Genomic DNA, 27,052 nt, shown 5'->3' with positions numbered 1-27,052 from the left:
AGGCAAGGGACTGAGTGGCTGGGTGAAATGGAACAATCATGCCAGCCTCGCAGAGGGAGCTGGAGTTGATTTATTGGCTGGAAAGGGCCAGCTCAGAATTAAGCCTCAATCCTCTGCAGCGGAGGGTCAGGAAGGGAGCTCTGCGGGGAGGTTGGTTGAGTGCTGGGAGCTACCTCCTTAAGGGGAACGGGAAGAGCAGATGGGACATCCGGCTTTGACTCTCTCTTGACAACCCCTTTCCCAGGGAGTGAGCTGGTACCACTGGAAGGGCTTCGAGTTCTCGGTGCCCTTCACGGAAATGAAGCTGAGACCAAGAAACTTTCGCTCCCCAGCGGGGGGAGGCTGAGCTGCTGCCCACCTCTCTCGCACCCCAGTATGACTGCCGAGCACTGAGGGGTCGCCCCGAGAGAAGAGCCAGGGTCCTTCACCACCCAGCCGCTGGAGGAAGCCTTCTCTGCCAGCGATCTCGCAGCACTGTGTTTACAGGGGGGAGGGGAGGGGTTCGTACGGGAGCAATAAAGGAGAAACTGAGGTACCCGGCTGGCATCGGTCCTGCCCCATCACTGGCTCTGGCCCGGGCTGTGGGCCCCCATCCCCCGGGGCTGCAGCCGCACTTGGAAAGGCTGCATCTTGAGGATGACACTGCAGTGGGGCAGGGGCTGCAGGGAGGGCAGGGCGTCCCCGGAGGGCAGCAGCGTGAAGGCCTGCAGCAGTCGGGTCAGCACCACGAAGAGCTCCAGGCGCGCCAGCGGCTCGCCCAGGCACACGCGGGCACCGCAGCCGAAGGCCAGAGCTCTGGAGTTCTTGCCTGGCTCCAGGAAGCGATCTGCGGGCGGGTGGACAGGTGGGTGGGGAGGCGTTCAGCGGCAGCGGGGACCAGCCTCCACCACATTTTCACGGCAGGCCCCCGGCCCCCCACATACCAGGCCAGAACTCATGTGGCCTCTCCCAGACCGTCTCATCCAGGTGGGCGCCTTGGAGGTTCGGAATGATGACTGTGCCCTCAGGGATGTCGTAGCCGGAGATGCTGAAGGGGGCTGGAGTTAGAGGCTGGCCAGGACCTCCCTGGGCTCGGGCTTTCCTCACTCATCCCCAACCCTCGGGAGTCACCTGCTGGGCCGTGTGGTGCGGTGGGGCAAGGCTAAGGGCACAACGGGCCGCAGGCGCAGCACCTCGGCGATGGTGGCATTGAGCAAGGGCAGCCGTGCACGGTCCTTGTAGGGGACCCGGGAGCTGGAGGCACCAGGGCCCAGTTCGTGGTCTAGCTCCTCCTGCAGTCGCTGCTGAATCTGGGGAATGATCGGGTGGAGTCCTGCCCCAGCAGCCCACAGCTGCCCAGCCTCCAGCCGCTCCCTCAGCAACCCAGTGAGCCTGAGTGCCGGTGAGGCAAGCACAGCCCCAGCCGCACAGTGCTCAGAGCTGAGTGAGGGTGCCCACCGCCCTGGCCAGGTTGCTGGGAAGGAGCCTTTTGCTTGTCCCCAGGACGCACCTCAGGGTGGTGAAGCAAAAAAACCACGGCCCAGGAGAGGGTGTTTGCTGTGGTCTCAGTGCCACCGATCAGGAGGTCCACTGCAGCCATGTGCACGTGCCCTTCCAGGAGCTGTCCAGAGCCCTCTTCCATGCTCGGCTGCGCCACCCCTTGGAGCATGTAGTCCATCATGTCCCTCCACTGGCCTGCCACGAGGCTCTCCTGCAGAGGGTGAAAGGAGCGGGCTGAGCGGCTGGCCTGGGGAGAGGAGTACAGAGTGGCAACAGGCCCATAACTGGGGTATGCAAAAGAACCCGCCTCATAGCAATGCTGAGGCCGGTAGCATCACTGGCTGTGGGCCGAGGGGAGGCCGTCCACGTACAGTCCCCACCTTGTGCTGCCTCAGCTGCATCTCCACGATGTGATCCCTCTTCTCTATGGCCTGCTTCAGCCTCCGGAGACCTGGATTGGGGAAGAACTGCGGCAGGAAGCATGAGAATGCAGCTGTGGGAAGGAGCCTCTCCCTCCACCCCAGCCTCTCCCCTACAACCCAGGGGTGTCTAGGCTCCAGGTCCTCACCCTGAGAAAGGGAATCACGTCCACAATTTGGATGGACCAGTGGCTCCAGGTTTTTAACACCTCCTGGATACATTTGTAATAGGCAGGCATTAAGTTGTCGTCCTGCCAGAAAAGGAGGGAGTACTTTCAGTTCAGGACAAGGAGAGGCTCAGGGAGGGGCTGGGGGTGGGCCTGAGGGGCTGTGAGGCACCTTGATCTTGTCTCCGAAGGTGAGGTAACAGATGATGCTGCAGGTGAGGAGAGAGAATTCCTCCTCAATGGCCACAGGGGTGCCGGGCTGGGCTCTCATGCGCTGTGGAGAAACAGTGTGAGTTCAGCAGGCCGCTGTGCAGCGGGCAGGGCGGGGGCTACTGTGAGAGGCGAGGCTGACCCGAGGTGGCCTCAGGAGCCCAGCCTTACCTCACAGAACTCCTGGGTCAGCTGCTCCACCACTGGCTCCATGGAGTCACGGATGCCCAGCAGCAGGGCTGAGCGGGTGAGCTTCTTGTGGGCTTTCCAGAGCAGGGAGTAGTCTCCCAAGGACAGGTCCGGGTAGTTCCTAGACACCAGCTTGTCTGCAGGAGGAGGTGGGGGCTGGAGGGTGGGAACTGATGAAGGCAGCTGAGGGCCTGACCTTCTTCGGCCTCCCCAACCCCTGCTTTCTCCCCACCAGATATGCCCCCCCAAGAGCTTCCAGGGACCTGGATTGGGGATGCCCCAAAGGTGGCTCACACTTGAGGCTGAGGTGGGAGGATCATTTGAGACTAGGAATTTAAGACCAGCCTGGGCAGCATAGCAAGAACCCATCTCTTAAAAAAAAATTTTTTTAAGAAAGAAAAAATGCCCCCGGCCCTTACAGGTAAGTGGCTCAGGTCTGCCAGCAAAGTCTGCCCACTTTTTGACCATGGCTTCCTCAATGGTCCTCTTGGAGTTCAGCACCACCACATCTGGGAGACAGCCAAAGCAGCGTCAGCGGAGAGAGGACCCTCTCCGTCACCTCCGCCCCCTCCTATGGTGAGGGCCAGAGCGAGATCAGCCTCTCACCTTGCAGCCCAAGGTGGAGCCTGTAGATGGGCCCGAATTTCTGAGTCAGGCCAAGCAGATAGATGGGGAGGTCGGGCTGCAGCAGGTGCAAGAAGCCCGGGGCAAGAGGCGGGAGGTGGAGGCTCCGGAGCTTCCACCAGTTCCACAGCAGGCGGGCGCCAGCCAGCAGGGGCAGCAGCAGCAGCAGGCCCAGGAGCAGCATGGCGAGACGCCCGTCAGGGCCCTGAGGTGCCACTTATAGCTCAAGAGCCCCAGCCATCCCTCCTGCTGTGTAGACTGTTTTGGGGCCTCCCTTGACCCCACCTTCAGGTACCCTCCCACCGACCCGCCCACAGAGTGGCCCTTTTCTGGAATGACACCAGTCTCATTGGCCTTGGGACGTCCGTATTTCAAAAAAATTGATCACCCATCAAGAAGCAAGGAAGGGAAATGCAACCCTGACCTTTTTCCTGCATCCAGAGTCAGCTTTCTGGTTCCACATCAACTGTGCAGGCAATAGTGTCCGCCCCCACCTGGGCCCTCTCCCTCTGCCACCCCACCGTGGGCCAGTTTACTGGCATGATGTTTGTCTCAGAGAGAAAATGGCAGTCCCTGCCTAATAGGCCTTCCTGAATCGCCTGAAGAACAAAATGTGATTTGTGTGGGTTGTTTGTTAGTTTAAGCTACAGATAGAGTAATACAGTTTAAGCCTGGTTTGCCTGGGGCATTCCAGTATATACAGGTATCCCAGTGTGATTGTTATTAGTGCCTCCTTTCACTCACAAAAGTGCCCAGAAGACAAAGGAGGAAGTGGTTTCCCGCTGCGGAGTAATAGCATGTACCAGACACTGCTCTAAGTGCTTTGTGGGCACTCACTCAACTCTTCACAGCCATGCTCTATATGCAACACGGGTATTGTTCGCATGTTGTGGAGGGCAGGATTCCAGCCTGGAAATCTAGCTGTCGAATATGTACCTTTAGCCACCAGGAGCACCTTTCTTTGGTTGAAAGGAAAACAGCCCACCTTGAGCTGGTTTGAGATAAAAAATAAGAATTGGGGAATTTCACAGAACTCAGGAAAAAGAAGCAGAGGAGGGGACCCCACTGGTCTTAGAAAGTCAAGGATAGGGAACAGAAAAAGCCCCGGAGACGGGCGGTTTCCTCGCTCTGTTCCTCTCTCCTCTTTCTTCTCTCTGCAGTCAAGTTTCTTGTGTTTCCAGGCACAGGCAGAACATGACTGCCCTCAGGACTACAGTCCACAGGTTCTACTCCAGCCAGGGAAAGTATGGATTCCCAGCACAACTGGGCATGCCCCCCTCAAAGTCCAAAGTCCCCAGGAAGGGGCTGGATAGCCACAGCTGGATCAGGATCAAGGGTCCAGCCCTATTTGGGGAACTGAAGCCATAAGGGGTGGGGGTCCCACTGGACTGACACTCAGAGACCACTTTTGTGGGTAAGGAGGCAGTTTGGGGATTTGGGAAGAGGCCATGCCAAAGAGGAGTGGCCGGGTTCAGTGAGAGGCCAGGGCCTCCTGGATGGTACCTGAGAGGTCAGAGGCGACCCAGCCCCATACCTTCCCCCCCATTTCTGGCTCTGTGCCAGACCCTCGGACCAGTGGGGGTCTCTCTCCCCTCAGAGCTTTTCCAGACTGTGCTACTGCAGAGCCAGAGTCAAGACCCTGGCTGTGCCACCCACTACATTGGCGAGTTCGCTGCTGCTGAATCCATGATCAGGACTGAGAGGGAGAAAACAGGATTGGGATTTCTGGGGTTGGGCAATGACAGCTACTGCCTTCTTCATGGTTGACCTCCCAGACCGGGCCATGTCTTGCTGCAACTGAATCCCTGGCTCCGGAAAATGGGCTTATGCCACCACCATGCTGAGCAGCTACTGGGAGAAAGATCTGATGAGCAACCATAGGGCCATGTATGCAAGAGCCTCAGGAAACCTCTGCCACAGTGGGAAAGGCCCAAACTTCTCAAAGTTACGTGGGATAAGACAGTGCTCATCGGAAAGGAGCGCACCTGGAAGGCTGACGTGCTTACTACTTGTCTCACCATCTCCATCTCTTCCACCACTTCCAAATCCAAACTCCGAATGTGGTCAATTACATGCAATGTCCCCAAAGGTACCCTGTCCTGCCCCCGGCCTCTGGGCCTTTGTATATTCTCCTTCTGCCCCAGATGCCCTCATCTACCCCTGCTCTTTTCCTGGCTCCTTCTCAGTCTTCAGAGCCCCACTTGGAGGCCACCTGCTCCAGGAAGCCTTCCCTGTCCCTGCCTGGCAATGCCCCTGACTTGGTTAGATGCCCCACAGGACCACACTGCTCCCTGACATCACATCTTTCACAGAGGGTGGGGACTGCCCGTCCTCTTATCTGTCTCCCCAGCGATGAGCCCTGGAGTGAGCAGCTGTATCTCTGGCACCTGGCACAGGGCATGGCATGAAGTGAAAGATTCCCGAATTTCTGTCGAATGACTGGATGGCAGGCTGCTGAACTGTCATGACCTCTACGGAAACTGATCTCACCAAACTTCTTTGGACAGACGCGGAGTCATCTCTGAAGACCCCAGGTGTGCCACTAAATGGGGGAAAGTTAGGCAGGTCCGGTGGGAAGGGGAGACCCCAGGAGAACAGCGGCTTCCTCAGAGGATTCACAAACACACCAAAGTCAGACTTTTGGCTTGTTTGAAACCAGTAACTGGAAGAAGACACTGCCGGACCTGAGGATTGCACAACTCCGGGAAAGTCACCTCATTCCACTGATAACAGAACCAAGCGTCAGCAGGCTTTCAACAGCCCGGAACTCAGCTAAAATCTGCAGACCTCAGAACCGCCAGCAGCACGAGGACAGAGTCGGGGAGGTGTAGCTGGACAACAGCTCATGAGGCAGAAGAGCTGTGTCACAGGTGTCAGCTGAGCACAAGCCCTGTCTGAGGCCGTGGTGACTGGCGACAGCCGGGCAGTGGAGGGCCTTGGAAGCTGAAGGGTGGTCTTGGCATGGACTCTGGTCCTTGGGGTGCAGGCTCTTGGGTCCCAGTTCTGCTCGGGGTGGTCCTGTGAAGCACTAGACTCCTAGCGGGTCATCTGGGAGGTTCTAGCAGAGCTGAACAGCCCAAGGGTCATCAGGGCTCAGAGAGTCTAAGGTTATGTCAACCTGGCCTGCCCAGAACTGCATCGGGCAGGGGCACTGCTCTCAGCCCTAGCAACACACACTGACACTTCACTGCCAACACTGACACTTTGCTGCCAAAAGCCTTTAATATGCCCTGGTCCCAGGCTGTGTTCATGAAAGCGGACACAGCAGTGCTTCCAGCTTCATGGTTCCCAGGTTCAGGTTCCTCCCAGCGGAGGTGGGAGGGCAGCCCTCACACCTGGCACCCCTGAGTGCCATACTCCTGGAGGAAGTCGTTGAGCTGGGCACAGGCTGCCCGCTGGCGGGTGCTCCGGCACAGGCGTTCAGAGGGCATCTCCTCGATCCAGCTATTCGAGTCCAGCAGGTACTGGGGGCTGCAGGGGGCAAAGGGGCAGTCAGCAGGGCTCGGGAGGATGGCAGGTGGAAACGGAGAGCACAGGCATCTGGCTTCTGAGGGGCAAGGCCTAGGTGGCGAGGCATGGGGAGGACAAGAGACTGAGGGGACCAGATGACTCACTGTCCCTCGAGGTCATAGGTGGCCCCATCCAGACCCATGATCAAATATTCTTTCCCAGGTTCCAAGCGAAGGCGGCAGGAGGCTCGAACCAGGAAGTTGCGCATCTGATTAGCAGCGGCCTTGACATCCTTGGCTGCGGGGATGACGTGCGCAAAAGTGGTCAGAGGGGAAGAGAAGGTGCAGGGTGAGCCCAGGCTGGGGACTCTGTGTAGATCCTCTCATTCCACCTTCGCCACCCCCATGGAGAGGTGCCACTGCCTCCCTATTTATGGCCAAGCCCAAGGCTTCTGACAGCCCAAGGGGATTTTCACACTTCCAGATGGTCAGGTCCTCGGCCACACCTCAGCCTCCCTGTCTCCCCCCAGCCCTGCCCGCCTCTCCGGTTTGCTTCATACTGAAGTGCAGGACTTGGGTGATCTTGGTCTCAAAGAGGCGGAAAGCAGCTCTGCTGTCTTCTCGGAGAACCTTAACCTGGAAGCCTAAGAGGGGGTGAGGAGAAGGGGGAAAGGTGAGTTACTTTGAGGCTGAGAGGGTAGGAAGTTGGTGTCAGAGCAAACAGGCTGCGTGCATGACCTGTAAGAGGAGCAGGCTACACCCAGAGAGACCAAAACGGCCGGTCCCCGAGGGAGGGTCAGGCCAGGGCCTCGGTGGGAAGACTGACCGTACTCCACACGGGGGTAGTAGCAGGCAAACTTCATCCTGTAGCCATCCTCGTCCTGCAGACCCCGCTCCAGGGCGCGACGCTGGCGAGGGCACTTCCCTGAAGTTGGGGAACCCATCAGACAGTGTGGGGGGGGCCCCGGCCATCCCGCCTCCACTGCCCCGCCCCAGGCCCTCAGTCTCACCCTCAGCACACTGGCAGACTTCAGCAGAACACAAGGTGGCCAAGAGTCTGCTCTTACTTGGTGCCCCGTAAAACACAGAACATCTGCGCTCTGGAGAACAGAGAGGAGTTAGGGCACAGGCCCCTCCATTCTGCCTCCTCAGTCCCAGGGAGCCCCAGGGCTCTCTGCCCCCTCACTACCCCGGTGTCCATTGTCCCATAGGAGGGCACCTATGCCAAAGTTCTCCTGAATTTCAGGGTGTCCTGCAGTGCTCACCGGGGTTGTAGTAGTCGTACAGGGTTGCGCTGGCCGGCTGCACCAGCCCCACCGGCACTTCCTGCACAGCCTCAAAGCCCACGCACTCCCGGGAGGTGGGGACCTGGCCAAGCGTGGGGAGGAGAGATGAGGGACCCACTCCCTGGGCCCTGCAGCCCCCTGTACTGGGTTTCCTTGGCCTGTTTTTGTTTGCTTCCTATTGGCCTTCTCTCCAGTGTCCTTCACATTCTGTTACCTTCCTACTCAGAGAACTCTCAAAGCTGCTCCGCAAGGTCTCTGGTGACTTCACTTCCCAGAGGGTGACCTTGCCCCAGTCTTCACTGCTCCAGGCCCTCAGCAGAGTCTTGCATCATGGACGTGTTCTCTGTGAAACTGTCCCTAAGCTAAGGGTTAGCTTCTGGACCACCCTTGGTTCTGACCTGGTCATTTCTTACGTTCCCTCCTTCGGAACTTCCTTCCTCAGAGCTCCCCTGTGGGGGTCTCAACCACTCCCTGGCTTCCACCAAACCAATCCAGGCTGATGATTCCCAAACTGAACTTGCAGCTCCATCCTTGCATTAGGATTGTGGCAGGACCTGTAAGTTCTCCAAGGCACTCTGCCTGCCCCCAAACCCACTCGCCCTCCTCGCGGCCTCATCTTTGTCATGGATACAACTGGGTCCTCCTTTATTTGCCACAACCTAACTGCAGGTTCTGTCATCCTGCCTGACCCCCCGACTCAGGTCCCAGGCCTGACCCCTCCTCGTGCCCACGCGGGCCCAGTCCACACGGTGCCGTGCCAGTGTCCCTCCTGAGCTAGGCTGCTGCACCGTCAGCTCCCTATCCGGGAATCTTGTTGGCTCTGTGTTTTCTATTGTGTTCAACCCAGATGTGTCAGCCAGGCTTCCCCAGCTGATGGGGGCTGGCCCCTCTGCACACACTGGGTAGGGGTCTCCCTGACCTACAAACAGCTGGCTAATGACAGCCACCACACCTTTCTCACATTTTCTCCCAGAGGTTACAGTAAATGTTCCAAAACTTTTTTTGAAGGCCGGGCATGGTGGCTCTGGCCTGTAAATCCGGTACTTTGAAAGGCCTAGGCCAGAGGATCGCTTGAGGCCGGGAGTTCAAGACCAGCCTGGGCAACAGAGCGAGACCCTGTCTTTACTAAATAAATAAATAAAAATGTTTTGAGAGCCGTAAGAGGGTTGATAACTATTTTAGCCAAATAAGGTCGTGAAAAGACAAATACAACTATCATCTATGGCCACCATCACTTTGTAAAGGAAAATACGCTTTAATATTAAAAAAAAGATAGGAAGTTCAACAAAAAAACAAAGGCAGCCCCTCAAGCTGAATAAAACCAGCATTAGGAAAGACTCCCTCTCAAACCCTGAGGGTCCCTGCTGACTGGCATCGGTCCCTGCCGCCTGCAGGTCTGCCCCTTACTCTGCTGTGTCTCACGGGCTCACATTCTTGTCCTTCTCTCTGATGACATCACAAGTTCTCAAGAGCACCAGCCGCTGACACAGCTGTCTCCTGAGAAACCTCCTAACGCATACTCAGTAAACCCGGTGCCATCGAGTCCCTTCCTGCCTCATCTCTCCCCACTCACCGAGTCAAAATACAGCAGGACGTGGGGCCCCTCGGTCTCAAAGTGACTCACGTAACGGTCAGAGAGGGAGGTCAGCTGTGGAAAAGGGGAGTTGGTCACAGGCCCTGCACATGACAGGGCTCAGTACCTGGGACAGAGGGGGTTGCCCTGGGTGGCTGACCACACCTTCTCCAGGTCAGCACGCAGGGCGTGGAATCCACTCAGGAGGGTGACGTCCGCGATGGCCATGCCAGACAGCCCCACCTTGCCGTTCCGCCTGTGGAGACGTGTGAGCTGTCGTCCAGGTTCTGCCTGCGCGGGCTCCAGAAGCCCAGCCCCAGCCTGGGTCCTGCCCTCCCTCCCCTGGCCCAGGGCAGCTCCCGGCGCCCACCAGATGCACACGGTGTAGTGCACCCTGGACTCCTGCTCCTCCACCACCTTGGGCGCCTCCCTCCTGCGGCGGTTCCTCCGACCCTCAAACAGCTGCAGGGGTGTCACGGGCTGCAGAGGGGCATCTGGGTCATCCTTGGCTGGAAGCTCATCGTACTCATAGTCCTCATAGTCCTCGTTTGCTTCCACTGCACAGGGAAGCATTGTGAGGAGGGCTGGGATGGCCACCCGGCTCCCTGCGCCAGCCCCTGCCTGGCCCCAAGGCCTCCCAACCCCCACACTCACTCGTGTACTCGACGTGGCCTTTGACTGTCACTTCTATCTGTAGGTCCTGGCAGGTCGTGTTCTTCATGTCCAGGACATTGTAGGTACGAAGGACCTGGCTCAGCAAGGGGCAGGGAGAGGACGTGGGACATGTGAGGCCACAGACCTCTCTGGTGCCATACCTAAGGGCATCTCCCTGGGCTACAGGATTTGAGGCCTTCAGCCCCTTTTCCTCCCCGTCACTGCACAGTCCACACACACGAGTGGCACCACATTCGCCACAGGCGTCAGGCGAGACAGAGAGGTAAAGAAGCAGGGGCCTGCCCCCAGAGGCCAACACTCCAGACTGTGCTGGGAAGAGGCTGGACTGAAAAGCTCAGGAAAGGCTTCTGGCCAAGGCTTGAAGGAGAAGAAAGAGCTTGTCCTGTGGGCCAAGAAGCAGGGAAGGACAGGAAAGGCAAGGGGATCTGTGTAGACAAGGAGAGCTGTCTGGCCGGAGGGGTGGGCAGAGGCCCAGCCATCTGAGCCGTGGGCAGCGGGGAGTGACTTTTCCCCAAGGCTGATCTGGCTGGGGCTTTTGGAAGGTCAGTGTCACTGCCGTGTGGACAGTGGATCAGACAGGGGAGACAGGAGGTAGAGAGAAGTTCCAGGTAGGGAGAAGGCCGTCTCAGCACAGAATCTAGGATGCAGCACCAAGGGCCACAGGCAGCAGGGGAGCAGAGGAGGAGTCACTAGGGACATAAGGACAGGCTTGGGAGAGGGGCCACTAACACGGCCTCTAGAGTAGTGGCTGGGCTCCTGGCTGGGAGGGGCTCCCACCAGCCAGACAAGAGACACAGAATGAAGAAGGGCTTTGGGACATGCCTCGTCTGAGGTGCTGTGGGAGTGGGACGAGTGGGGCCCATGGTTCAGGGAAGAGGCCTGGGCTGAGGAGTGGGATTCGGAGCCACCAGCACTGAGGCGGGTAAAGGAAACAACAGGTACCCAGAGATGGGGAGAGCAAGCGAAAGCAAGCAGGGGGAAAAACACCCAGGACGGAAGCACGGGACACCAACCCTGAGGTGTCTGCCTCCTTCCCCGGACCATGTGCCTCTGCCCACAGGCCTCTCACTCCACACCCTCTCCTCCACCAGTGCCTGGCCCCACCCCTTCCCTGGCCCTCACCTTCAGGGTTCCTTTGCTGTTTCCTCCCACCTTCACATTGATCTTGCTGCCCAAGGAAAACTTCAGCAACAGAAAAGGGAAGGCGATGTTAGAAGGGCACAAGCAAACCTGTTTTTGCGGCTCCAATAACTTATCTCCTTCCTCAAAACAGCCCCACCCCCTCTCCCCACCTCACATTTCCACAAAGTTTATACCAGCACATGAATTATCTCACTTCAGCCTTCTAACGACCCTGTAGGGTGAACTCTGTGTATGTTACTCTACAAGTGAGAAAACTGAAGCTCAGAGCTCCAGGTCACGCAGCCAGGAAGTCAGTCTTCCCCCGAAGACCCCAGGAAGAAGTGCTGCGGGGATTCCACGGGTGGGAGGGTGGGGACGGCTTCTGGCCTGGCCACGAGGCCCAGGTGTCCTGGCTACCCAGGCGAGGGAGTGGTTCACCAGGGAGTGGTTCACCTGCAGCTCCTCCTCCAGGCCGCGAATCTGGCGGTTGTTCAGCTGCAGCGCGTGGGACTTGAACCCATTCCGGCCTGTGGAGCTGAGAGTCACATTGAGACCCCTCTCCTCAGTGGTGTGGGAGGCAATCCAGTAGGCAGACAGGGCATCCAGGGCAATCACCGTGTCCTAGGGAGGTTGAGCCAGGACTCAAGCAAGCCCTTGGTCTGAGGACTACCCACCCCCGCCAGAGCCCGGGGACGGCCCCTACTTGGGTACTGCGGAATCCCCCTTGGAAGCTGCCCTGACGGGTGAGCCAGGCCGCAGCCTGGTCTGCCATCTCTGCTTTGCCCTCGTGAAGCAGGAGGTGCAGCAGGGCGTAGGCTGTGGTTTCAATCCACAGGGCTGGGGCCTGGGGCATGGGGTCGGATGGGTTGCGAGGAGCCGGGGTGGGCGACACGGCATTGCTCTGAGAACCAGTGACTGAGCCCCAGTACAGGTTATCTGAAAGTGAAGGGAGACCACGAGTAAACAGGAAGGCAGGGAGAAGAGCCTGGTCCCCTGGCCCTTAGCCACCCCCTGCTGGGCTCTCCTGAGTCTCCCCCAACCCACCCCTGCTTATAACTTCATTCCTCCTCTGAGTCTTCATCCAGCCTCTCCCTCTGGGCACACTCAGGGATCCTAAGGTCCCCTGGGCCTCAGGCTCACTGCCAGAGCCCCTCACCCCTCACCTCCAGTCTCCTGGGCCATTGCCATGAGGTTGTTGTGGGCAACACCCCGCAGGTCCGCAGGGGCCTTGGTCAGTGTCAGGGCATAGGCCGTGATGGCAGCTGCGTGGGCACCCAGGAGCCCAGCACTTGCTTTCTCCCCCAAAAATGAGCTTGCCTTTGAGATGGAGGCTTCCTGGAAGAAAACGGGAGGAGGGTCTTGGGCCTGGACCCCTGGGTTCCTGAGGAAAAAGGGAGAGAGCTGGGGGCCAGCAGAGGGCAGAAACGCCACTGAACTTACCACTCTCTGCTTCAATGGCTCTGCACCCTCATCCTGGAAGACGGCCAGCCCATGATGAAGGGCGATGGTCACAAAGGCTGTGAGTGCCACAGTCTCATCATTGCCCACCAAACCCCCCTAGTAAGGGGAGAAAAGATGTCAAACAGGAGGGGGAAGGGGCAAAGAGAGTCCTCCGACAGGCGCTTCTCGGGCCAGCCCCAGCATGCCCGCACCTGCATGCTCCTATGTATCACTGGAGAGAGGTCCTGGAACGAGCCGTCAGCCTGCTGCTGGGACAGAAGCCAGTTAGATGTCTCCTGCAGTTTCTCAGGCGAGCCTCCTACCTGCTCCTGGGCCAAACTCAGGACCTTCAACACAAAGGCTGTGAGCCTGGAGGGCAGGAAAGGAGGGTTGGGGATAAGGACTTGCTTCTCATTATGCCCACGCCCCCAGGTGCCTGGTTATCCACCCTCCCATCATACCAGCTCTGTCCCACCCCTGCCCCAGCCCTGACCCCCTCAGAACCCTGGAACCACTCTCCCAAGCTCACCAGGTGCTGCTGCCCCGTGACAACCAAGCCGCATAGGAACCATCCGCCTTCCGAAACTGCTGGATCCGCATGTAGCCTTGGAGAGGAGAGGTGGCCGCTCAGGTGACACTCACCCTTCTGCTGTTTGAGCCCAAGGCCATGCTCCCCATCCTCATCAGGGGCCCCCTTTCTTTCCCTCTGTAGCCTCCTGGGCTGTCCATCTTCCAGTAACTGTCCTTTCCTGGCCCCCCTCCTGCTTGCCCTTGCACCCAGAACCTTTCTGGATCAGATCCACGGCGTGGTCCTTGGTCTCGGGAGGCAGTGTGCTCCACTGCTCTGTCTTGTCCAGGTAGCGGGAAGCAGCCAGTGTCGGAGCCAAGTAGATCATGGTTTGCTCCCCACAGCCTCGAGGAAGCCTCAAGAGGGAGGCCACGCCTCCTGGTGACAAGGCCCCCTCAGAGCCTAAAGTGTCCAATGGATCTGAGGCTACATGGGAGGGAGAGGGTGGAGGTCTGAGGACTCTGTGTCAGAGGCTCACGGGGAGTGGGACCAAGCAGGGATCCACAAGTCCCACATGAATCCGAAGGTGGCCACTGGGAAGGGACTAAAGGGCACTCCCACCTGTAACCCTGACGTAGCTGTTAAAGTCCCCATCAGGGATCATATTGGGATCAGAGTTGCCAGGTATTTCCAAGGTCCGGCCTCGGTGGTCTGGGGAAATGGGGGAAGTTGGCAGCCTGTCCTGCTGTCCACATCCCCCACCACCTGTACCCACTTAGGAAACCAATGGCTGGAGGTAGAGGGTCACTCACCCAAGGGGTTGAGTTCATAGACCAGCTCCTCTCTATGGATGGCCCCTTCCTTCTGTCTCAGGGAAAACATGGTTGTGAGGTCACACAGGACTACAGCCTGCCCTGCTAGCGCAGACTCCCCCAGAACTTTGAGTTTCAACTCCAGGGACAGAGTTGGATCAGAATTGTAGAAGATGGGAACAGACCAAGGCATTGGTTTGGGTGTTGGGCCCCTGGCCTGGCCAGCAGAGAGAGTGCTGAGGGTGGAGGACAAAGCTGGGGGCCCGGGGACTTATATTCAGGGGTGCTCCATTCACCTCAATCTGCAGAACCTTGGACACCGCATCTCCCACAGGGAATTCGAAGGACCCTCGAGCCACCACCTTCAGAGACACAGCGGTGGCTGCCGTGGGCACCACAGAGAAGGCAACAGGCCGGGCAGAGCCCGCAGGCACCAGCACCTGCTGGGCCAGCCCTCCGCCCCCAGCCAGGCACAGCCCCTCCACTGGGGACACGTGGACGCTCACCTGAGGGCAGGAAAACGAGGATGGCCAGAGTCCTGGCCCGGTTAGCCTCCCCACCCCTCACTGGGCCCTGGCTCCCCCAACTCCTGTATGCTCAGGCTCCCATGGGGCCTCACAGTCAGGTTTTTATCCAGGTAGTTATAGAGGACAGGCCGCAGCTCCAGCTGCTCAAAGCGGCGGACAGACATGGGCAGGCGGAGGTGCAGGTGGAACTCGCGGAACACCCGGAGCTGGACTGGGGTGGCCACACATAGGCCTGAGGGAAAGGAAGCGTGGGCACAGGGGCAGAGATCAGAGGGGCCATCAAAGCTTCAGGGCCACAGGAGGGAGGGGTGGGGGTGACCCAGCTCTGTCTCAGTCCGCCTCTGCCCTCTGGCCCACGCCAGCTGCACGCTGGCACAGACCTCCCCAGATCACTGGACCCTCTTCCTACACTAAGAGCAAAGGGAACAGGGAGCTGGGGTACAGGGAAATGGAAGCAGGGTCACCTGAGGCCCAGACAGGGTGACATCACCTTTGGTTTTGGACAGGCTCAGGCCATGGATCTCCCACGTGGTCAGAGAGTCGGGGAGCCACAGTGTCAATCTGTGTAGGGAAAGGCAGAGAAGGCCCGTCTACCCCGGCTGGCCCCGAGACACAGCACAGAGAAAAGGCCGGGCCGGCACACACTCTCACATTTGAAAGCGGTCCACTGTTTCCACTCTCCAGAGCCAGTTCTCTGGGAAGAAGCTGCGCACGGGAATGTCATCCTCATCAATCAGGTCCTCCTCCTGCAGGATCTCCAGGGCTGGGGGACCACGGTGGACGGGAGTGAGGAGGGGACCGTTCTGCCTTTCCAAGCGCCGCCACCTGTGCCCTAGCCCCACCCAGCCCCTCACCTCGTTGGAGGCCCGCCTGGCCCTTGTCCCTGCTCTTCTTGCGCAGACTCTCAGCAAATTGGCAGCAGGACAGGAAGGGCTCCCGGCAGTCCGGCTGCTGCACGCGGGCTGCCCGCTGCTCGCAGGAACGCATCATGGGCAGACGTGTCACCCCATCCTGGCAGCAGCGCTTGGCTGTCGGGGAAGCATACTGACCCACTGCAGGGCCAGGTGGGGGTGAGCATGAGAGGACAAAAAGGACATACACCTCAGCCCCCGCCCCGACCCCTTGAGACCAGCAACATAAGAGAGGCTGCTGGAGAGAGCTGCCCACCTTCCACTCGTAATCCCGGAATTCGGATCTCTGGCCCCAAATACCACACGTGGGTTCAGCAAGGAGCCGAGGGGCAGAGAGGCAGACCCCCAACCCGGATCCCAGGTGGAGAGCCCAAGCTACTGCCTAGGCACCCGCAACTCACATTTCTCATTAATCGCCTTTTGGAAGTTCACGTTTCTCTTTTTCCGGGTTGTCTTCTCCTTGGGACAGCTTAGTCCTGGTAGAGAGAAAGGCTGCAGTCCAGCCGTCAGGCACTCGGCCTCCTCCCCTCCTCCCCTTCCCCTGCCCAGCCCTTCCTGCCCGGACTCTTCCAGCTGGTCCCCTCAGGCCCTTCCTCCTTCCTTATCTTCCCGCCACCCACTCCCCTTCCTTCTCTGTTCTCACTCTTTCTGGATAAGGTCCACTGGTCTCCATCAGAAAAGGCCAGGCCCGCTGCCTGGAACACCTGAAGGGCACTGTCCCCACCCCCAGGACCACAGCCGAGGTCATAGCTGTTCATAGCTTCAAAGACCTGCAAGAAAGGCAGGAATGCTAGGAGCCAAGTGTGGCTGAGGGGCAGGACTGAGCACTCGGCACAGGTGAGAGGGCAGCACATGGGGGGATAGGAAAGGATACAGAGCCAGGAGATGGAGACCACAGGGCCAAGTGGGGAAGAGACTGTGGGGAGCCTCAGTGGGATCCAGGGGCTGCGCCCAAGGCTCAGGGAAGCAGGGGGATGAGCCATGGAGGGGTGAGAGAGCTGTGGAGAGGGTCTGGACAAACCTTGCCCATGTTGAGGGGCTTGTGGGACTTGCTGCCTGCAGCATACAGAGCTGTGTCCAAGGCTCCCAGCGCCACCAGGGCTAGGGAGTCGGTTTCTAAGTGGAGCTTCACGGACTCCCCGTTCCGGTACTGCTTGGCACCGTCCACGCTGAGCTCCAGCTGGCAGGGGCGGCAGGTGGGGGCGGTCAGAGTGGGAGAGCTTCCTTCAGTCCCGGTATCCTCACTGCCCCCAAGCTAAATCCATGCCCTGTTGGCAATCACCCTGTCCTCAACCCCCTCGGCACAAGTGCCATCTCTCCTGACCCCGGTCACCTTGCCCTCGCAGGCCCCAGCCTGGACATCCACTCGCAGGGAGTTGGCCACTGGGTGGTCTCCATGGTAGTAGAAGGCCACAAAGTAGAAGGAGGGTGCCAGGTGATGGTCCACAAACACCGAGACCGAGGTCAGGGTCCTCTTGGGCTCTCGATTCATGAACACGATCTGCCCTCGGGATAGGATCTGGGCCAAGAATGGGAGGGACAAGAGTGGTTGCCTCTTCATGGGACAGCCTCAGCCTTGAACCCCCCCAGCCCCACCCAGAGGGCTCTTCCCTGCACCCCAGCCCTCCGTGACTCCCCAGCTCATGCACACCATGTAGTAGTAATGAGAAAAGGTGGCCCCACTGCCCACGGCTCGCAAGTTCAGGTTCAGAGTGTCCCCAACACGAGGAGGTCGAGAATCCGGCCGCTCAATAGACAGAAACCCGGGGCCTCCTGAAGGTGGGGCTGCCACAGTGAGCCTGGCTATCGCTGGATGTGGGGAGCCTGCAGATACCTGGAGAGGGGGTCAGGTGCGAATAGGGTAGTAGCTCAGAGCCAAGTACCCCACCTTCCCCCCAAGTCAGGCCATGGATCCTTGGGACCCCAGCTCACCCTCCTCCCCTTCCCCCACCATCTCCCAGGGGTCCGAGGAGTCCTACTGAGAGCTGCAGCTCTGAGATGGTCTGAGGGATAATTATTGGAATGCTGACTTGGCCGCTCCCGTCTGTGTTTTGCTGAATGTCCTGGACTTCAGGAACAGACCCAGGAGAAGACACCGTGGCAGAAACTTTGACAGGAATGCCAGAAGCTGGGGAGCCTGACATCTCACGGACCAAGGCCTAGGCAGGTAAAGGAGGGCAGGCAAAAGAGAGTGGTCAGACCCTGAGCCCTCCTAACTACCACATCCTCCCTACTCATCCTTCCCCTCTGGAAGAAACCTGCAGCAGGAAGGGGGCCCCAGGCACAAGGTGTCGCTTGGTCTTGCTAAGATCCAAGGAGAAGGGAGATGACACAAAATACCAGGATGTGAGCTCTGCCTCCTCCATCTCCCCACCTGCAAGACAAAGGACAGAGAGAGGTGGGGGACAGAGCCCAAGAAGAGAGGGACAGGAGGACAAGTGGGGAGTGGCTTGAGTGGTTCCCTCCCACAAGACAGTGAGCTCCCAGGGCACAGGCTGCCGTATTCCTGTCTGTGTTGGGAAAAGGACTTGTGGGGTGCCTGTATAAACTGGCCATAAAAATATGGGACAATAAGTTGTGGAAAGCCACAAGAGGCCTCTGAGGAGAAAAGCCTCCTAATTGCCATGCTCAGAGCGAGACCTGCTCTCTCTTATCTGTAAACACTGTATTCAAGGAGAAAGACCCTCCTTTGAAGCATTGGAATGTGGACAGACGTGCAGGCTCCTAGTTAAGCCCACTCCCACTAGCTACTCTCCGATAAGTTAAAGATATGCTGTTTGAGCACAAAGGAGATTCATTTAAAGCGCTTCTGCTGTAGATTATGCCTGTGACGCACTGCTACCCTTTCACTGTTTTGCCCTGAACATCTGCTTCTTAGATCTAAGTTATTGTACTCAATAAATAGTGTGGAGACCAGAGCTCTGAGCCTTTTGCAGCCTCCATTTTGCAATTGGCCCCCTGGCCTCCACTCTTTATGAACTCTTAACCTGTCTCTTCTCATTCCTTTGTCACCACCAGACTTCAGGTACCCTACAGGTGGTGTTGAGGCTGGTCCCCAACATTCTGGCGCCCAACGTGGGGCCCAAAAGAATCTGGTGAGGAAACGCTCAAGCATGTGAAACAGAGGACCAACGAACAAAGGACTCCCAAGGACATAAAAGTTTTAACCTCTACAGGTAAGCGGGGCGCCCAGAGAAAGCTAGGGACACAATGGGAAAAACTGAAAGTAAGTACACCACGTATTTGAGCTTCCTACGGCAGCTCTTCAAGCATGCATGGTGGGGTAAAAGTTGATACGGAAAATCTTATGGATTTGTTTCATGCTATGGAACAATTTTGCCCTTGGTTCCCAAAACAGGAAACTTTGAAATTAAAACATTAAGAAGGAGTTGGAAAGGACCTTAAAAGAGCATATAGAGAAGGAAAGGAAATTCCTTTGCCTGTTTGGTCGCTTTGGTCATTGGTGCATGCAGCACTGGAGCCTTTTCAGACAGATAATGAGGCTGAGTCAGAGGAGGAGAGAGAGGAGTTTGATAATCAGAACTCTGAACCACCTCTACCGAGTACTAACAAAAAGGAGAGTCTGAAGATGATTTATGCCAATCTCCCCAGTCTCCCTAAACCTACTCAAAAAATTGTTCAGCCCACGGTTCCTGTAGAGAAATGTCCAGAATGGCCACCTCCTCCTCAGCCGAGTGGGTGCAGGGGGAGGGAGCCCGAGACTTGGCTCACCGTGCCCATTATTGCCCGACCCACAGTTCATTATGGAGATGGGGCAATTCAGGTTCACCCTACAGTTATTACAGTGAAGGAGCAATTTCCCTTAAAATGGATGACCCGGCGCCCCGTCTGGGTTGAACAGTGGCCGCTCCCTAAGGAAAAGTTGGGGGTGCTTTATAAAATAAACTACTAAAAAAAGGATATATTTCACCCACTTTCTCTCCTTGGAATTCCCCAGTATTTGTAATTAAGAAAAAGTCCGGTAGATGGCGTCAACGCTGTAATTCAACCGATGGGAGCCTTACAACCTGGGCTCCCATCCCCCACTGTGCTCCCTAAAGACTGACCGCTTGTTATTATAGATTTAAAAGACTGCTTTTTTACAATTCCTTTAGCAGAGGCAGATTTCAAAAAATTTGCCTTTACCATTCCTGCCGTTAATAACAAAAAACCTGCAGCCAAATATCATTGGAAAGTTTTGCCCCAGGGTATGTTAAATAGTCCCACAGTTTGTCAAACTTTTGTAGGCAGAACTATCCAGCCTGTTAGAGATCAGTTTCCAGATTTGTGCAGCAAAAAGTAGAGACCAACTTATTCAATATTATTAATCTTTGCAAAAGACAATTACAAATGCTGAATTACTTATAGCACCTGACAAAATTCAAACAACCACTCCTTTTCAGTATTTGAAAATACAAGTACAGGATAGAGCCATTAAGCCTCAAAAGGTTCAAATTAGAAGAGATTCTTTCAAAACCTTAAATAATTTTCAAAAATTGTTAGAAGATATTAATTGGATTTGGCCCAATTTAGCAATTCCTACTTATGCTATGTCTAATCTCTTCTCAATATTGAGGGGAAATACCAACTTACGCAGTAACAGAGAACTAACACCCGAGGCCATGAAAGAGTTATCAGTAATTGAAAACAAAATTCAGCAAGCCCAGGTCAGTAGGATTGACTCAGACTTGCCTTTATAATTCATTGTGTTCCCTACTTCACACTAACCACACAATAATGGGGGTTATTGTTCAAAATGATGATTTAGTTAAATGGTCCTTTTTGCCACATAATACCATAAAAGCACTTACAGTATACTTAAATCAGATGGCAATTCTAATTGGACAGGCTCATATATGAATTATTAAATTTTGTGGCACTGAGCCCAATAAAAATTATAGTTCCAATAAATAAAAATCAGGTTAAACAGGCATTTATTAACTCAGTTACATGACAGATTAATTTAACAAAATTTGTTGGATGTATTAATAATCATTATCCTAAAAACTTTTCAATTCTTAAAATTAACTACATAGGTTCTTCCAAAAATTACTTGTGATGCCCCTTTGGAAGGAGCCATAGCTGTTTTTACTGGTGGGTCTGGTAAACATGAAAAAGCAACAGTCTGGTGGAGACCACATAATCCAATCACTTGATCTGAATTTACTAACATTCAGAGAGCTAAGGTTATTCTGTGTATTTATTTAAAAACTATTACAGCCTTAAGTTTGCTCTGGAGCCCACTCTGTGTGGTCTTTTTCTTCAACTTCAACAATTACTAGACCAAGGTACACATCCTACTTTTATTACACACATTCGAGCCCACAGCTCTCTGCCTGGCCCATTGGCTTACGGCAATAATCAAGCAGACCTTCAGGTTATGACATCACTGCTTGACCAAGCCACCCAATCACATCGATTATTCCACCAAAATTGGAGAAACTTATCTAAATAATTTCAACTTACACAGAGGCTGGCTAAACAAATTATCCCACAATGCCCAGATTACCAGCTCACAGGCACATACCCTCCTTCAATAGGTGTTAACCGTAAAGAATTGGAACCTAGTCAGTTCTGGCAAACAGATGTTAAACACATCCCTAAATTTTAAAAACTAAAATATGTACATACATCCATTGTTACCAACACTCATCTAATTATTACACATTTAAAAAAATAAAAGTAAAAAAAAGACTAAGACAAAAATCAAAAAAATACAAAAAAGTAAAAAAATTTAAAAAGTTATAAAAATGTACCTTTAGTAAAAAAATTATAAAACATAAAAAGTTAAGACATGTTAAAAATTGTCTGTAAAAGTCATAAAAAAAGTTATAAAAAATTTATACAAAAAAGGTTGTTTAATTTTGTTTTAAAGATCTAAACAAGTTTTAAAATGATAATTGTAAAAAATTCCGTGTGTAAACGTATTTACTAAAGTTAAAAAGATATCATCCAGTTTTCTATAAACTAAACATTAAAATAAAACACAAGTTTTTCTTAAAACACTAACCTGCTCTTTAAAAATTGTAAAAAGTCTCTTAACACAGACGCCACTCCTAAAATTTCCAGTACCAGCCTAAAGACTACATCCTCATCAAAGGATAAAAAATTAAAAAATAAAAAAACATTTGAACCAGCCTAAAAAAGACCCTACAGGAACTACAGCCTCAACAATGCGACTTCCACAAACAACACAGGCCTCAGACATTATACTAAAAAAACAAAAGTCTAAGCCAAATAATTTATTCATTTTTAATTCTCTCACTTTGCCTACTACCTATACCTGCTACACTGTATTAAGCTCGTATCTTAAATCCGCCTTTCTTCTGCCCTGTTACTTTAACAAACACCCCCTTCTCAGCTTCTAATAACATAACTGCTTAGCTAGAATAAATTAACATACCCCCAGTGGGGTTCCTCATTAATAACATATAGTAAACTAAGATGCCAAGTAACACTACAGGTCACTCTTTTACTAAAAAAAAAAGTTACTAATTATACTCATGTTTGTCTTCTGTTATTTACTAATCCTAGAATACAAAGCCAAAATAAAAACAGTGACCTCCTCGCCTAACAAACCTGTGGCTACAACAGCCCAAAATTATACCTATTGGGCATGTGTCCCATTCCTGCCTTTAATTAGGCCTGTCACATGGTTAAAACCCCCAGTTGAAGTTTATGTTAATAATAGCGTTTGGATCCCTAAGCCTACAAATACTCATGGGCCCTCTCACCCAAAGGAAAAAAAAAAAAGTTAATAAATGTGTCCATAGGTTATCAGTTCCCCCCTCTTTACATAAGGCCAACTATCGGTTGCCTAAAAGGCTACCGACAACATTGACTAGTTAAAATTCCAGGTCATAATCAAAGACCAGTATCCTATCATTTATTTTCTGGATGGAGCCCGGATCATTCACAGAGTTCAATTCAATTAACAGTTTAAGCCCCCAAAAAAGAGGTGCCAACAACCTTAACAATGGTCAAATAATTTAAAAATATTAATTAAAAAAAATTACATCTCTGATCACACTATGGTACTACAAAATAATTCCTATGAAATTGTCATTAATTGGTCCCCTGAGGGGACCTTTACAGTTAATTGTACCCATCAAAATAATAAATACAAGACAAAACTAAAACAGAAACTATACTATCAAAAAGGTAACACTACTTACACTGAAAAACGTGCTCATTTTCCCATAATTTGGACCAATTTTAGTACAGCTGGCCCACATCCCAAAATAATTAATCCAATAATAGGCCCTAAACACTCCAAATTATGAAAGTTAATAATGGCCCAATCTCATATTTAAGTTTAGAAAAAAATATATTATCTTTAAAAAAAAAAGGTTAAAAACTTCAATTTGCGTATCAGTTTTCTTCCAACAAAACAGTGCCCATTCAGAGTTGTGTCAACCCTCCTTTTATGTTAATGGTCAAAAATATTGACATTCGACCTAATTCTCAAACTATTACTTGTCAAAACTGTCACCTTTTCACCTGTATTAATTCCACGTTCGGTGTAAAAACATCTGTGTTACTGATAAAAACTAAGAAAGGAGTTTGGATACTGGTTTCCCTCAATAGACCTTAGAAAGCCTCTCCTTCCATTCATATTGTCACAAAAATGTTTTAAAAAAAAGTGTTTACCAAAACAAAGAGATTTATTTTTACCCTTATAACAGTCTTATGGGCCTTATTGCAGTCACAGCTACTGCTGCGGCTGCTGGAATTGCTTTACACTCCTCTGTTCAAACTACAAAATATATAAATAGTTAACAAAAAATTCCTCAAAATTGTGGAATTCTCAGACCCAAATAGACCAACAATTGACAAATCAAACAAATGATCTTAGACAGACTGTTATTTAAATGGAAGATCGTACAATAAACTTAAAACATCAATTAGAAGTACAATGTAATTGAAATACTTCCAATTTCTACATAACTCCCCATTCGTATAATACTACTAAACATCATTTTTAAAAAGTTAGACATCATCTAAAAGAAAAAAATAAAAATTTAACATTAAATATAACCAAATTTTAAAAAAACAGGTTTTTAAAGCATCTCAGGCTCATTTAACCCTCCTGCCTGAGACTGACATTCTCATTGGAGCTACTGACGGACTTTCAAACATAAATCCTCTTAAACAGATTAAGACCATTAAAGGATCAACTATTACAAATTTTACTTTAATGTGTATCTGTTTATGCTGTTTACTTTTAGTCTACAGATGCAAAAGACACTTCTGAAAACAGACCAAACACCACAAATAAGCCATAATAGCAATAGCGGTTAAAAAAAAAAAAAGGGAGGGGGGCATGTTGGGAAAAGGACTTGTGGGGTGCCTGTATAAACTGTCCATAAAAATATGAGACAATAAGTTGTGGAAAGCCACAAGAGGCCTCTGAGAAGAAAAGCCTCCTAATTGCCATCATGTTCCCATGCTCAGAGTGAGACCCCCTGTCTTATCTGTAAACACTCTGTTCAAGGAGAAAGACCCTCCTTTGAAGCATTGGACAGACATGCAGTCTTCTAGCTAAGCCCACTTCCACCAGCTACTCTCCGATAATTTAAAGACATGCTGTTTGAGCACAAAGGAGATTCATTTAAAACTCTATTGCTATAGATTACGCCTATGACCCACTGCCTCCCTTTCACTGTTTCTCCCTGAACATCTGCTTCTTAGATCTGAGTGACTGTACTCAAAAAATAGTGTGGAGACCAGAGCTCTGAGCCTTTTGCAGCCTCCATTTTGCAATTGGCCCCCTGGCCCCCACTCTTTATGAACTCTTAACCTGTCTCTTCTCATTCCTGTGTCACCAATGGACTTCAGGAACCCTACGGGTGGCGTTGAGGCTGGTCCCCAACATGTCTGTGCATGCTGAGGCCTAGCACGGGGCATTGAACAACACATGTCCACTGGAGGAGTGAAGGAATGAGCAGAACGAGCAAAGAAATAAATAAACTCAGCCAGGGAAAAGGGCCGAGTCACAGAGACAGAGTTGGAGAGAAACCAGGTCTCCTGGGTGTTTCCTGGTTTTGAGTCTGAGATGAGATGTGAGAAGTGGGGTGGTGTTGGTGCCGGAGGACAGAGGGTTAGCTCAGAGGTCAGAGGCAAGGGTCTGGGGTTACAATAAGGGAAAGTCACCCACCTGGAGACTCAATGATGGCTGCAGCAACGTAGAGGCGCAGCCCCTGGAGGTCAGTAATGCCCATATTCAGCTTCTCCAGGGCGTCCTGGAACTCTGCCTTTGAGAGGGAAATGTGGCTCTGTCCATTCACCAGCTGGGGCATAGAAAGAAACAGGACATAGGGTGAGACTGAGTCTCCCACCTCACCTCCCTTGCCCCTTCCCCTCCCCAGCCCCTATTCTCCTTCCTACCTTGGTCTGACTCTCCAGCCCCCGAAAGAAAGTCTTCTTACCATCCTCATCTAGGAGCCCAAAGCGCACATATGCCACCCCCTGCACTGGCTTCCCATAGATGTACCTGTCGTGGCAGAGAGAAGAGGGTGGGCCAAGGGCTGGGGGGAATAATGGCCCGAGGGCAGGGAAGCAGGAGCCCATTCATACTGAGTAGGGAGCAGGACCCGGTGCTGGTGGGCAGAGGTGGGGAGGGAGGTATTACCTGGCCTGGATGTCTAACTGCATTTCATCAAGATGGCCTGGCACCGTCAGGATGTAGGGCTTTCCAGGGGTGATCTTCACCTCAAAGTTGGGAAGGACTGACCCAGGGTGAAGGGATAGGCAGGTCAGACTCCAGCTCAAAGACTCCCCTCTGCTCAGGGCTGTGGCACCCATATCTCCCTGCCCTGAGCTGCTCCCAGTACCTCTCCTTCCACCCTTATTTCCTTCAGGAAAGCAGCTGCCTGTCCCTCCAGTTTCCAGCTCTCACCATATTTCTTCACCTCAAACTGGGTGCTGCTGTTGGATTCCAGGCCATCTGAGAATCGGGCTGAGATCTTCCAGGTCCCTGGCCTGAGAATGGACAAGGAAGGGGCTCAGCCCATCTGTACAGTGGGGCACGGAGAGCCAGCAGCCTGCTTCCCTGGGAAGAGGACTGTGGGGGTTAACCAGAGGCTCAGGAGGCTGAGGGTCAGGGCATCTGGGGACGTGCCTCTGTGTGGGAGGTGGAGAGCCTAACAGGAATTGGGGTGGTGTAGCTTGGGGGCAGCCCCCACATTGGGAGCGCTCACTCTGAGATGTCTGGGATCACAAAGTCATCCTGGAAGATGGACGAGGGCATGTACACCTCCTTCTTCCGCACGCGGAGGCCGTGAGAGTTCTGCAAGGGGAGAAGTGCTCACAGGCAGGAGGTCACATCAGTGGCCAGGATCAGGAAGGCCAGAGGTCGGGGACTCACCTCCACCATGACTGTGATGGTGTCAGTGCTCGGGCGCATCTTCTGATCCAGAGCAAAGACCCGGTACCGAACTGGGAGTGGAGGAGGAGAGAGGTGAGCAGGGGTCCATGTGCAAGGGGAGGGTGGGTCAAACTCCACAGAGGGAGCAGGGGACAAATGTTTCCTAAGCACCCCTTCTGTGTGGCACTTTCTTTCAGGTTATCTCACTTAGGGGGCACCAAACTCATCCTGAGAGGGCTCGGAGGGGGTTAAAGGTTGAGGCCCTGGGGCTGAGACTCACCCCGCTGGCCAGGGTTGTAAATGGGCTGGTCCGTCTGCAAAAAGAGGTGCCCCCGGCGAGAGGAGAAGAGCAGGTTGATACCCTGGATGTTTGTCGTTCTGGACAGAGAGTCCTTTAGCCATGGCGAATGGGCCACCAGCTGGACCTCAGGGCCTCTGAGGAGTTGATGGAGGCCACAGCTCTTCGCATCTTTCAAGGGCACCTGTCAGGAGAGGGAGAGGGAGAGGGAGCGGGTCACAGAGCAAGAGACAGCTGACCAAAAAGGACAGAGACCAAGGGAGAAACGTGGAAGGAGAATGCCAGGGTGGGAAGACAGGAGGGGAGGAGGCCAGTGGGAAGATGATGACACTTACAAGACAGATGGGAACAGGGCAGGAGGCCCCCACAAGCAGCAGGAGGGCATGGGGTCTGGTTACCTGGAGACTGAGGAGTGCGAAGTCTCTTTCTGAGCTAAGGGTGAAGTCCACCTTTGGGGAGCAGGGGACATTATTACGAGATGGGTTTCTCAGGAACACTGATCCTTTCACTACCTGTCCTCGGGGCACATCCTGGAGCTGCACCCCCACCGATAGGGGGACCCCCAGATGAACCACAGAAGGAGAGAACAAGAGCAACCTGGGGAGAACAGACAGGATCAGCAGTCAGACTTCGCTCTGACACCTCCACCCCTGCTCTCCCTCACTCCTGAATCGGGTCCCGATGCCAGCCCTGCCCCAATCCAAGCACCCAGCATCCCGCCTCCAGGACCTGGGCTTCTGCAGAGATAAGGTGAAGAAGCTGGATGCCCAGATCAGCCCCCAGAGCAGCCTCATGGCTGGAGGATCCAAGAGAGGTTAGATCCGTCTGTCTGTCTGCTACCTTCTGGCCAAGCTAGGCCTCGGGGCAGAGTTGACTCTGGACCTTGCTCCTCCCCCAGCCCAGCTAAGCTGGGAAACCACGTGACAGCCAAGAAGTGCAACTGGCCTCAGGCCCAGAGTTGTGGGGGCACCCCGGACACCTGGGTGTCCATGGGAAA

The 27,052-nt window shown here is 53.7% G+C and overlaps 3 protein-coding genes across 9 annotated transcripts in view, besides 33 other annotated features; 1 reads left to right on the top strand and 2 right to left on the bottom strand.

The window, feature by feature from the left end:
- Positions 1-87: part of a biological region, named in NCBI's record as "tenascin XB recombination region", that runs on past the window's edge. NCBI's record gives its function as "recombination_partner: LOC106780804".
- Positions 1-87: part of a non allelic homologous recombination region, noted in NCBI's record as "sub-region TNXA/TNXB-1', recombines with sub-region TNXA/TNXB-1 within the tenascin XA (pseudogene) recombination region", that runs on past the window's edge. NCBI's record gives the evidence for it as "EXISTENCE:restriction fragment detection evidence [ECO:0001124][PMID:15081125]".
- Positions 1-542, top strand: part of TNXB (tenascin XB) — a 68,186-nt gene extending 67,644 nt beyond the window's left edge. For all 4 annotated transcript variants that reach the window (NM_019105.8, NM_001365276.2, NM_001428335.1 and 1 more), the window contains one exon: positions 245-542. In NM_019105.8, coding sequence (NP_061978.6) covers positions 245-346 — 102 coding nt within the window. In that variant the 3' untranslated portion in view covers positions 347-542. The remainder of the gene's footprint in view (positions 1-244) is intronic.
- CYP21A2 (cytochrome P450 family 21 subfamily A member 2) lies at positions 51-3,280 on the bottom strand. Of its 4 annotated transcripts, none has more exons than NM_000500.9 (10): positions 3,071-3,280; positions 2,884-2,973; positions 2,447-2,601; positions 2,238-2,339; positions 2,048-2,149; positions 1,860-1,946; positions 1,490-1,690; positions 1,111-1,289; positions 924-1,027; positions 51-826 (listed from the first exon to the last, which is right to left on the bottom strand). In NM_000500.9, the coding sequence occupies exons 1-10, from the start codon at positions 3,270-3,272 to the stop codon at positions 561-563; spliced, it is 1,488 nt and encodes a 495-aa protein (NP_000491.4). In that variant the 5' UTR covers positions 3,273-3,280; the 3' UTR covers positions 51-560. The 4 variants fall into 4 exon arrangements, with proteins under 4 accessions (NP_000491.4, NP_001355072.1, NP_001355073.1 ...); NM_001368143.2 differs by having other exon boundaries at positions 53-826; positions 2,447-2,620; NM_001368144.2 differs by lacking the exon at positions 2,884-2,973 and having other exon boundaries at positions 53-826; positions 2,447-2,620.
- Positions 551-1,453: a meiotic recombination region, noted in NCBI's record as "meiotic double-strand break mapped by DNA meiotic recombinase 1 chromatin immunoprecipitation followed by single-stranded DNA enrichment and sequencing in the germ cells of some male individuals with the PRDM9 A/B genotype". NCBI's record gives the evidence for it as "EXISTENCE:chromatin immunoprecipitation-seq evidence [ECO:0000229][PMID:25395542]".
- Positions 551-3,823: a biological region, named in NCBI's record as "CYP21A2 recombination region". NCBI's record gives its function as "recombination_partner: LOC108004539".
- Positions 1,022-1,037: a nucleotide motif, noted in NCBI's record as "nucleotide motif; similarity to the predicted 16-mer PRDM9 C-type binding motif, CCNCNNTNNNCNTNNC".
- Position 1,159: a non allelic homologous recombination region, noted in NCBI's record as "sub-region CH-8', recombines with sub-region CH-8 within the CYP21A1P recombination region. This sub-region is marked as 3' partial since the 3' end of the sub-region is unknown". NCBI's record gives the evidence for it as "EXISTENCE:nucleotide sequencing assay evidence [ECO:0000219][PMID:22156666]".
- Positions 1,161-1,273: a non allelic homologous recombination region, noted in NCBI's record as "sub-region CH-3', recombines with sub-region CH-3 within the CYP21A1P recombination region". NCBI's record gives the evidence for it as "EXISTENCE:nucleotide sequencing assay evidence [ECO:0000219][PMID:22156666]" and "EXISTENCE:restriction fragment detection evidence [ECO:0001124][PMID:12560361]".
- Positions 1,275-1,504: a non allelic homologous recombination region, noted in NCBI's record as "sub-region CH-5', recombines with sub-region CH-5 within the CYP21A1P recombination region". NCBI's record gives the evidence for it as "EXISTENCE:nucleotide sequencing assay evidence [ECO:0000219][PMID:22156666]".
- Positions 1,513-1,879: a non allelic homologous recombination region, noted in NCBI's record as "sub-region CH-7', recombines with sub-region CH-7 within the CYP21A1P recombination region". NCBI's record gives the evidence for it as "EXISTENCE:nucleotide sequencing assay evidence [ECO:0000219][PMID:20970527, PMID:22156666]".
- Positions 1,894-2,147: a non allelic homologous recombination region, noted in NCBI's record as "sub-region CH-2', recombines with sub-region CH-2 within the CYP21A1P recombination region". NCBI's record gives the evidence for it as "EXISTENCE:nucleotide sequencing assay evidence [ECO:0000219][PMID:22156666]" and "EXISTENCE:restriction fragment detection evidence [ECO:0001124][PMID:12376740]".
- Positions 2,021-3,823: a meiotic recombination region, noted in NCBI's record as "this region was identified as a region with an increased recombination rate within the HapMap CEU population". NCBI's record gives the evidence for it as "EXISTENCE:nucleotide sequencing assay evidence [ECO:0000219][PMID:20981099]".
- Positions 2,189-2,204: a nucleotide motif, noted in NCBI's record as "nucleotide motif; similarity to the predicted 16-mer PRDM9 C-type binding motif, CCNCNNTNNNCNTNNC".
- Positions 2,270-2,562: a non allelic homologous recombination region, noted in NCBI's record as "sub-region CH-1', recombines with sub-region CH-1 within the CYP21A1P recombination region". NCBI's record gives the evidence for it as "EXISTENCE:nucleotide sequencing assay evidence [ECO:0000219][PMID:22156666]" and "EXISTENCE:restriction fragment detection evidence [ECO:0001124][PMID:12376740]".
- Positions 2,379-2,391: a nucleotide motif, noted in NCBI's record as "nucleotide motif; similarity to the predicted 13-mer PRDM9 A binding motif (LD hotspot motif), CCNCCNTNNCCNC".
- Positions 2,563-2,613: a non allelic homologous recombination region, noted in NCBI's record as "sub-region CH-6', recombines with sub-region CH-6 within the CYP21A1P recombination region". NCBI's record gives the evidence for it as "EXISTENCE:nucleotide sequencing assay evidence [ECO:0000219][PMID:19624807, PMID:22156666]".
- Positions 2,668-2,675: a non allelic homologous recombination region, noted in NCBI's record as "sub-region CH-9', recombines with sub-region CH-9 within the CYP21A1P recombination region". NCBI's record gives the evidence for it as "EXISTENCE:nucleotide sequencing assay evidence [ECO:0000219][PMID:22156666]".
- Positions 2,839-3,135: a non allelic homologous recombination region, noted in NCBI's record as "sub-region CH-4', recombines with sub-region CH-4 within the CYP21A1P recombination region". NCBI's record gives the evidence for it as "EXISTENCE:nucleotide sequencing assay evidence [ECO:0000219][PMID:11134109, PMID:1905948, PMID:22156666]".
- Positions 3,257-5,868: a promoter, noted in NCBI's record as "-2.6 kb promoter". NCBI's record gives the evidence for it as "EXISTENCE:reporter gene assay evidence [ECO:0000049][PMID:8582328]".
- Positions 3,257-8,270: a promoter, noted in NCBI's record as "-5.0 kb promoter". NCBI's record gives the evidence for it as "EXISTENCE:reporter gene assay evidence [ECO:0000049][PMID:10608879]".
- Positions 3,289-4,954: a promoter, noted in NCBI's record as "1.6 kb promoter (BglII/ApaI fragment)". NCBI's record gives the evidence for it as "EXISTENCE:reporter gene assay evidence [ECO:0000049][PMID:2162843]".
- Positions 3,379-3,412: an enhancer, noted in NCBI's record as "cAMP response element". NCBI's record gives its function as "mediates induction by cyclic AMP" and the evidence as "EXISTENCE:reporter gene assay evidence [ECO:0000049][PMID:2162843]".
- Positions 3,383-3,403: a protein binding site, noted in NCBI's record as "-120 to -100 DNase I footprint". NCBI's record gives the evidence for it as "EXISTENCE:nuclease protection assay evidence [ECO:0001106][PMID:1334085]" and "EXISTENCE:protein binding evidence [ECO:0000024][PMID:17666484]".
- Positions 3,427-3,448: a protein binding site, noted in NCBI's record as "H21-a". NCBI's record gives the evidence for it as "EXISTENCE:protein binding evidence [ECO:0000024][PMID:1517227]".
- Positions 5,773-5,797: an enhancer, noted in NCBI's record as "enhancer D region". NCBI's record gives the evidence for it as "EXISTENCE:reporter gene assay evidence [ECO:0000049][PMID:8390355]".
- Positions 5,774-5,859: an enhancer, noted in NCBI's record as "-2574/-2489". NCBI's record gives the evidence for it as "EXISTENCE:reporter gene assay evidence [ECO:0000049][PMID:8390355]".
- Positions 5,821-5,839: an enhancer, noted in NCBI's record as "enhancer B region". NCBI's record gives the evidence for it as "EXISTENCE:reporter gene assay evidence [ECO:0000049][PMID:8390355]".
- Positions 5,821-5,839: a protein binding site, noted in NCBI's record as "enhancer B region". NCBI's record gives the evidence for it as "EXISTENCE:protein binding evidence [ECO:0000024][PMID:8390355]".
- On the bottom strand, positions 6,277-26,900 carry C4B (complement C4B (Chido/Rodgers blood group)). The gene is made up of 41 exons (NM_001002029.4): positions 26,785-26,900; positions 26,454-26,652; positions 26,038-26,239; positions 25,758-25,828; positions 25,591-25,679; positions 25,290-25,372; positions 25,023-25,119; positions 24,779-24,884; positions 24,549-24,681; positions 17,650-17,765; positions 17,371-17,550; positions 17,043-17,225; positions 16,725-16,910; positions 16,413-16,571; positions 16,035-16,161; positions 15,793-15,867; positions 15,335-15,532; positions 15,132-15,243; positions 14,971-15,041; positions 14,573-14,712; positions 14,250-14,459; positions 13,954-14,005; positions 13,763-13,852; positions 13,418-13,627; positions 13,163-13,238; positions 12,846-13,002; positions 12,634-12,750; positions 12,357-12,528; positions 11,897-12,129; positions 11,647-11,814; positions 11,194-11,253; positions 10,051-10,144; positions 9,767-9,953; positions 9,562-9,652; positions 9,397-9,471; positions 7,803-7,905; positions 7,548-7,637; positions 7,364-7,462; positions 7,098-7,181; positions 6,703-6,835; positions 6,277-6,559 (listed from the first exon to the last, which is right to left on the bottom strand). The coding sequence occupies exons 1-41, from the start codon at positions 26,847-26,849 to the stop codon at positions 6,418-6,420; spliced, it is 5,235 nt and encodes a 1,744-aa protein (NP_001002029.3). The 5' UTR covers positions 26,850-26,900; the 3' UTR covers positions 6,277-6,417.
- Positions 7,890-8,270: an enhancer, noted in NCBI's record as "-4.6 to -5.0 fragment". NCBI's record gives the evidence for it as "EXISTENCE:reporter gene assay evidence [ECO:0000049][PMID:10608879]".
- Positions 7,913-8,193: a promoter, noted in NCBI's record as "-235 to +30 promoter for Z transcript". NCBI's record gives the evidence for it as "EXISTENCE:reporter gene assay evidence [ECO:0000049][PMID:8589688]".
- Positions 8,011-8,032: a transcriptional cis regulatory region, noted in NCBI's record as "F3 (-73/-51)". NCBI's record gives its function as "contributes to enhancer stimulation by Nr5a1" and the evidence as "EXISTENCE:site-directed mutagenesis evidence [ECO:0005528][PMID:10608879]".
- Positions 8,089-8,122: an enhancer, noted in NCBI's record as "F2 (-162/-129)". NCBI's record gives its function as "enhancer when multimerized" and the evidence as "EXISTENCE:reporter gene assay evidence [ECO:0000049][PMID:10608879]".
- Positions 8,089-8,122: a protein binding site, noted in NCBI's record as "F2 (-162/-129)". NCBI's record gives the evidence for it as "EXISTENCE:protein binding evidence [ECO:0000024][PMID:10608879]".
- Positions 8,137-8,165: an enhancer, noted in NCBI's record as "F1 (-205/-177)". NCBI's record gives its function as "enhancer when multimerized" and the evidence as "EXISTENCE:reporter gene assay evidence [ECO:0000049][PMID:10608879]".

This window comes from Homo sapiens, chromosome 6 (genome assembly GCF_000001405.40).
Source record: "Homo sapiens chromosome 6, GRCh38.p14 Primary Assembly".
Taxonomy (NCBI): domain Eukaryota; kingdom Metazoa; phylum Chordata; class Mammalia; order Primates; family Hominidae; genus Homo; species Homo sapiens.
The sequence above is the reverse complement of the archived record's forward strand: the minus strand, read 5'-3'. Positions and strand labels throughout refer to the sequence as shown.

Coding starts and splice junctions, on each gene's coding strand:
- CYP21A2 (NM_000500.9), bottom strand. CDS start 3,272: ATGCTGCTCCTGGGCCTGCTGCTGCTGCTGCCCCTGCTGGCTGGCGCC. Junction 1,947..2,047: donor ACGTGATTCCCTTTCTCAGG/GTGAGGACCTGG, acceptor TTCCTGCCGCAG/TTCTTCCCCAATCCAGGTCT. Junction 1,691..1,859: donor TGCAGCTGAGGCAGCACAAG/GTGGGGACTGTA, acceptor CACCCTCTGCAG/GAGAGCCTCGTGGCAGGCCA.
- C4B (NM_001002029.4), bottom strand. CDS start 26,849: ATGAGGCTGCTCTGGGGGCTGATCTGGGCATCCAGCTTCTTCACCTTA. Junction 9,472..9,561: donor TGCGTGCTGACCTGGAGAAG/GTGTGGTCAGCC, acceptor CCTTTTCCACAG/CTGACCTCCCTCTCTGACCG. Junction 7,182..7,363: donor CTACCCCCGTGTGGAGTACG/GTCAGTCTTCCC, acceptor ACCCCCTCTTAG/GCTTCCAGGTTAAGGTTCTC.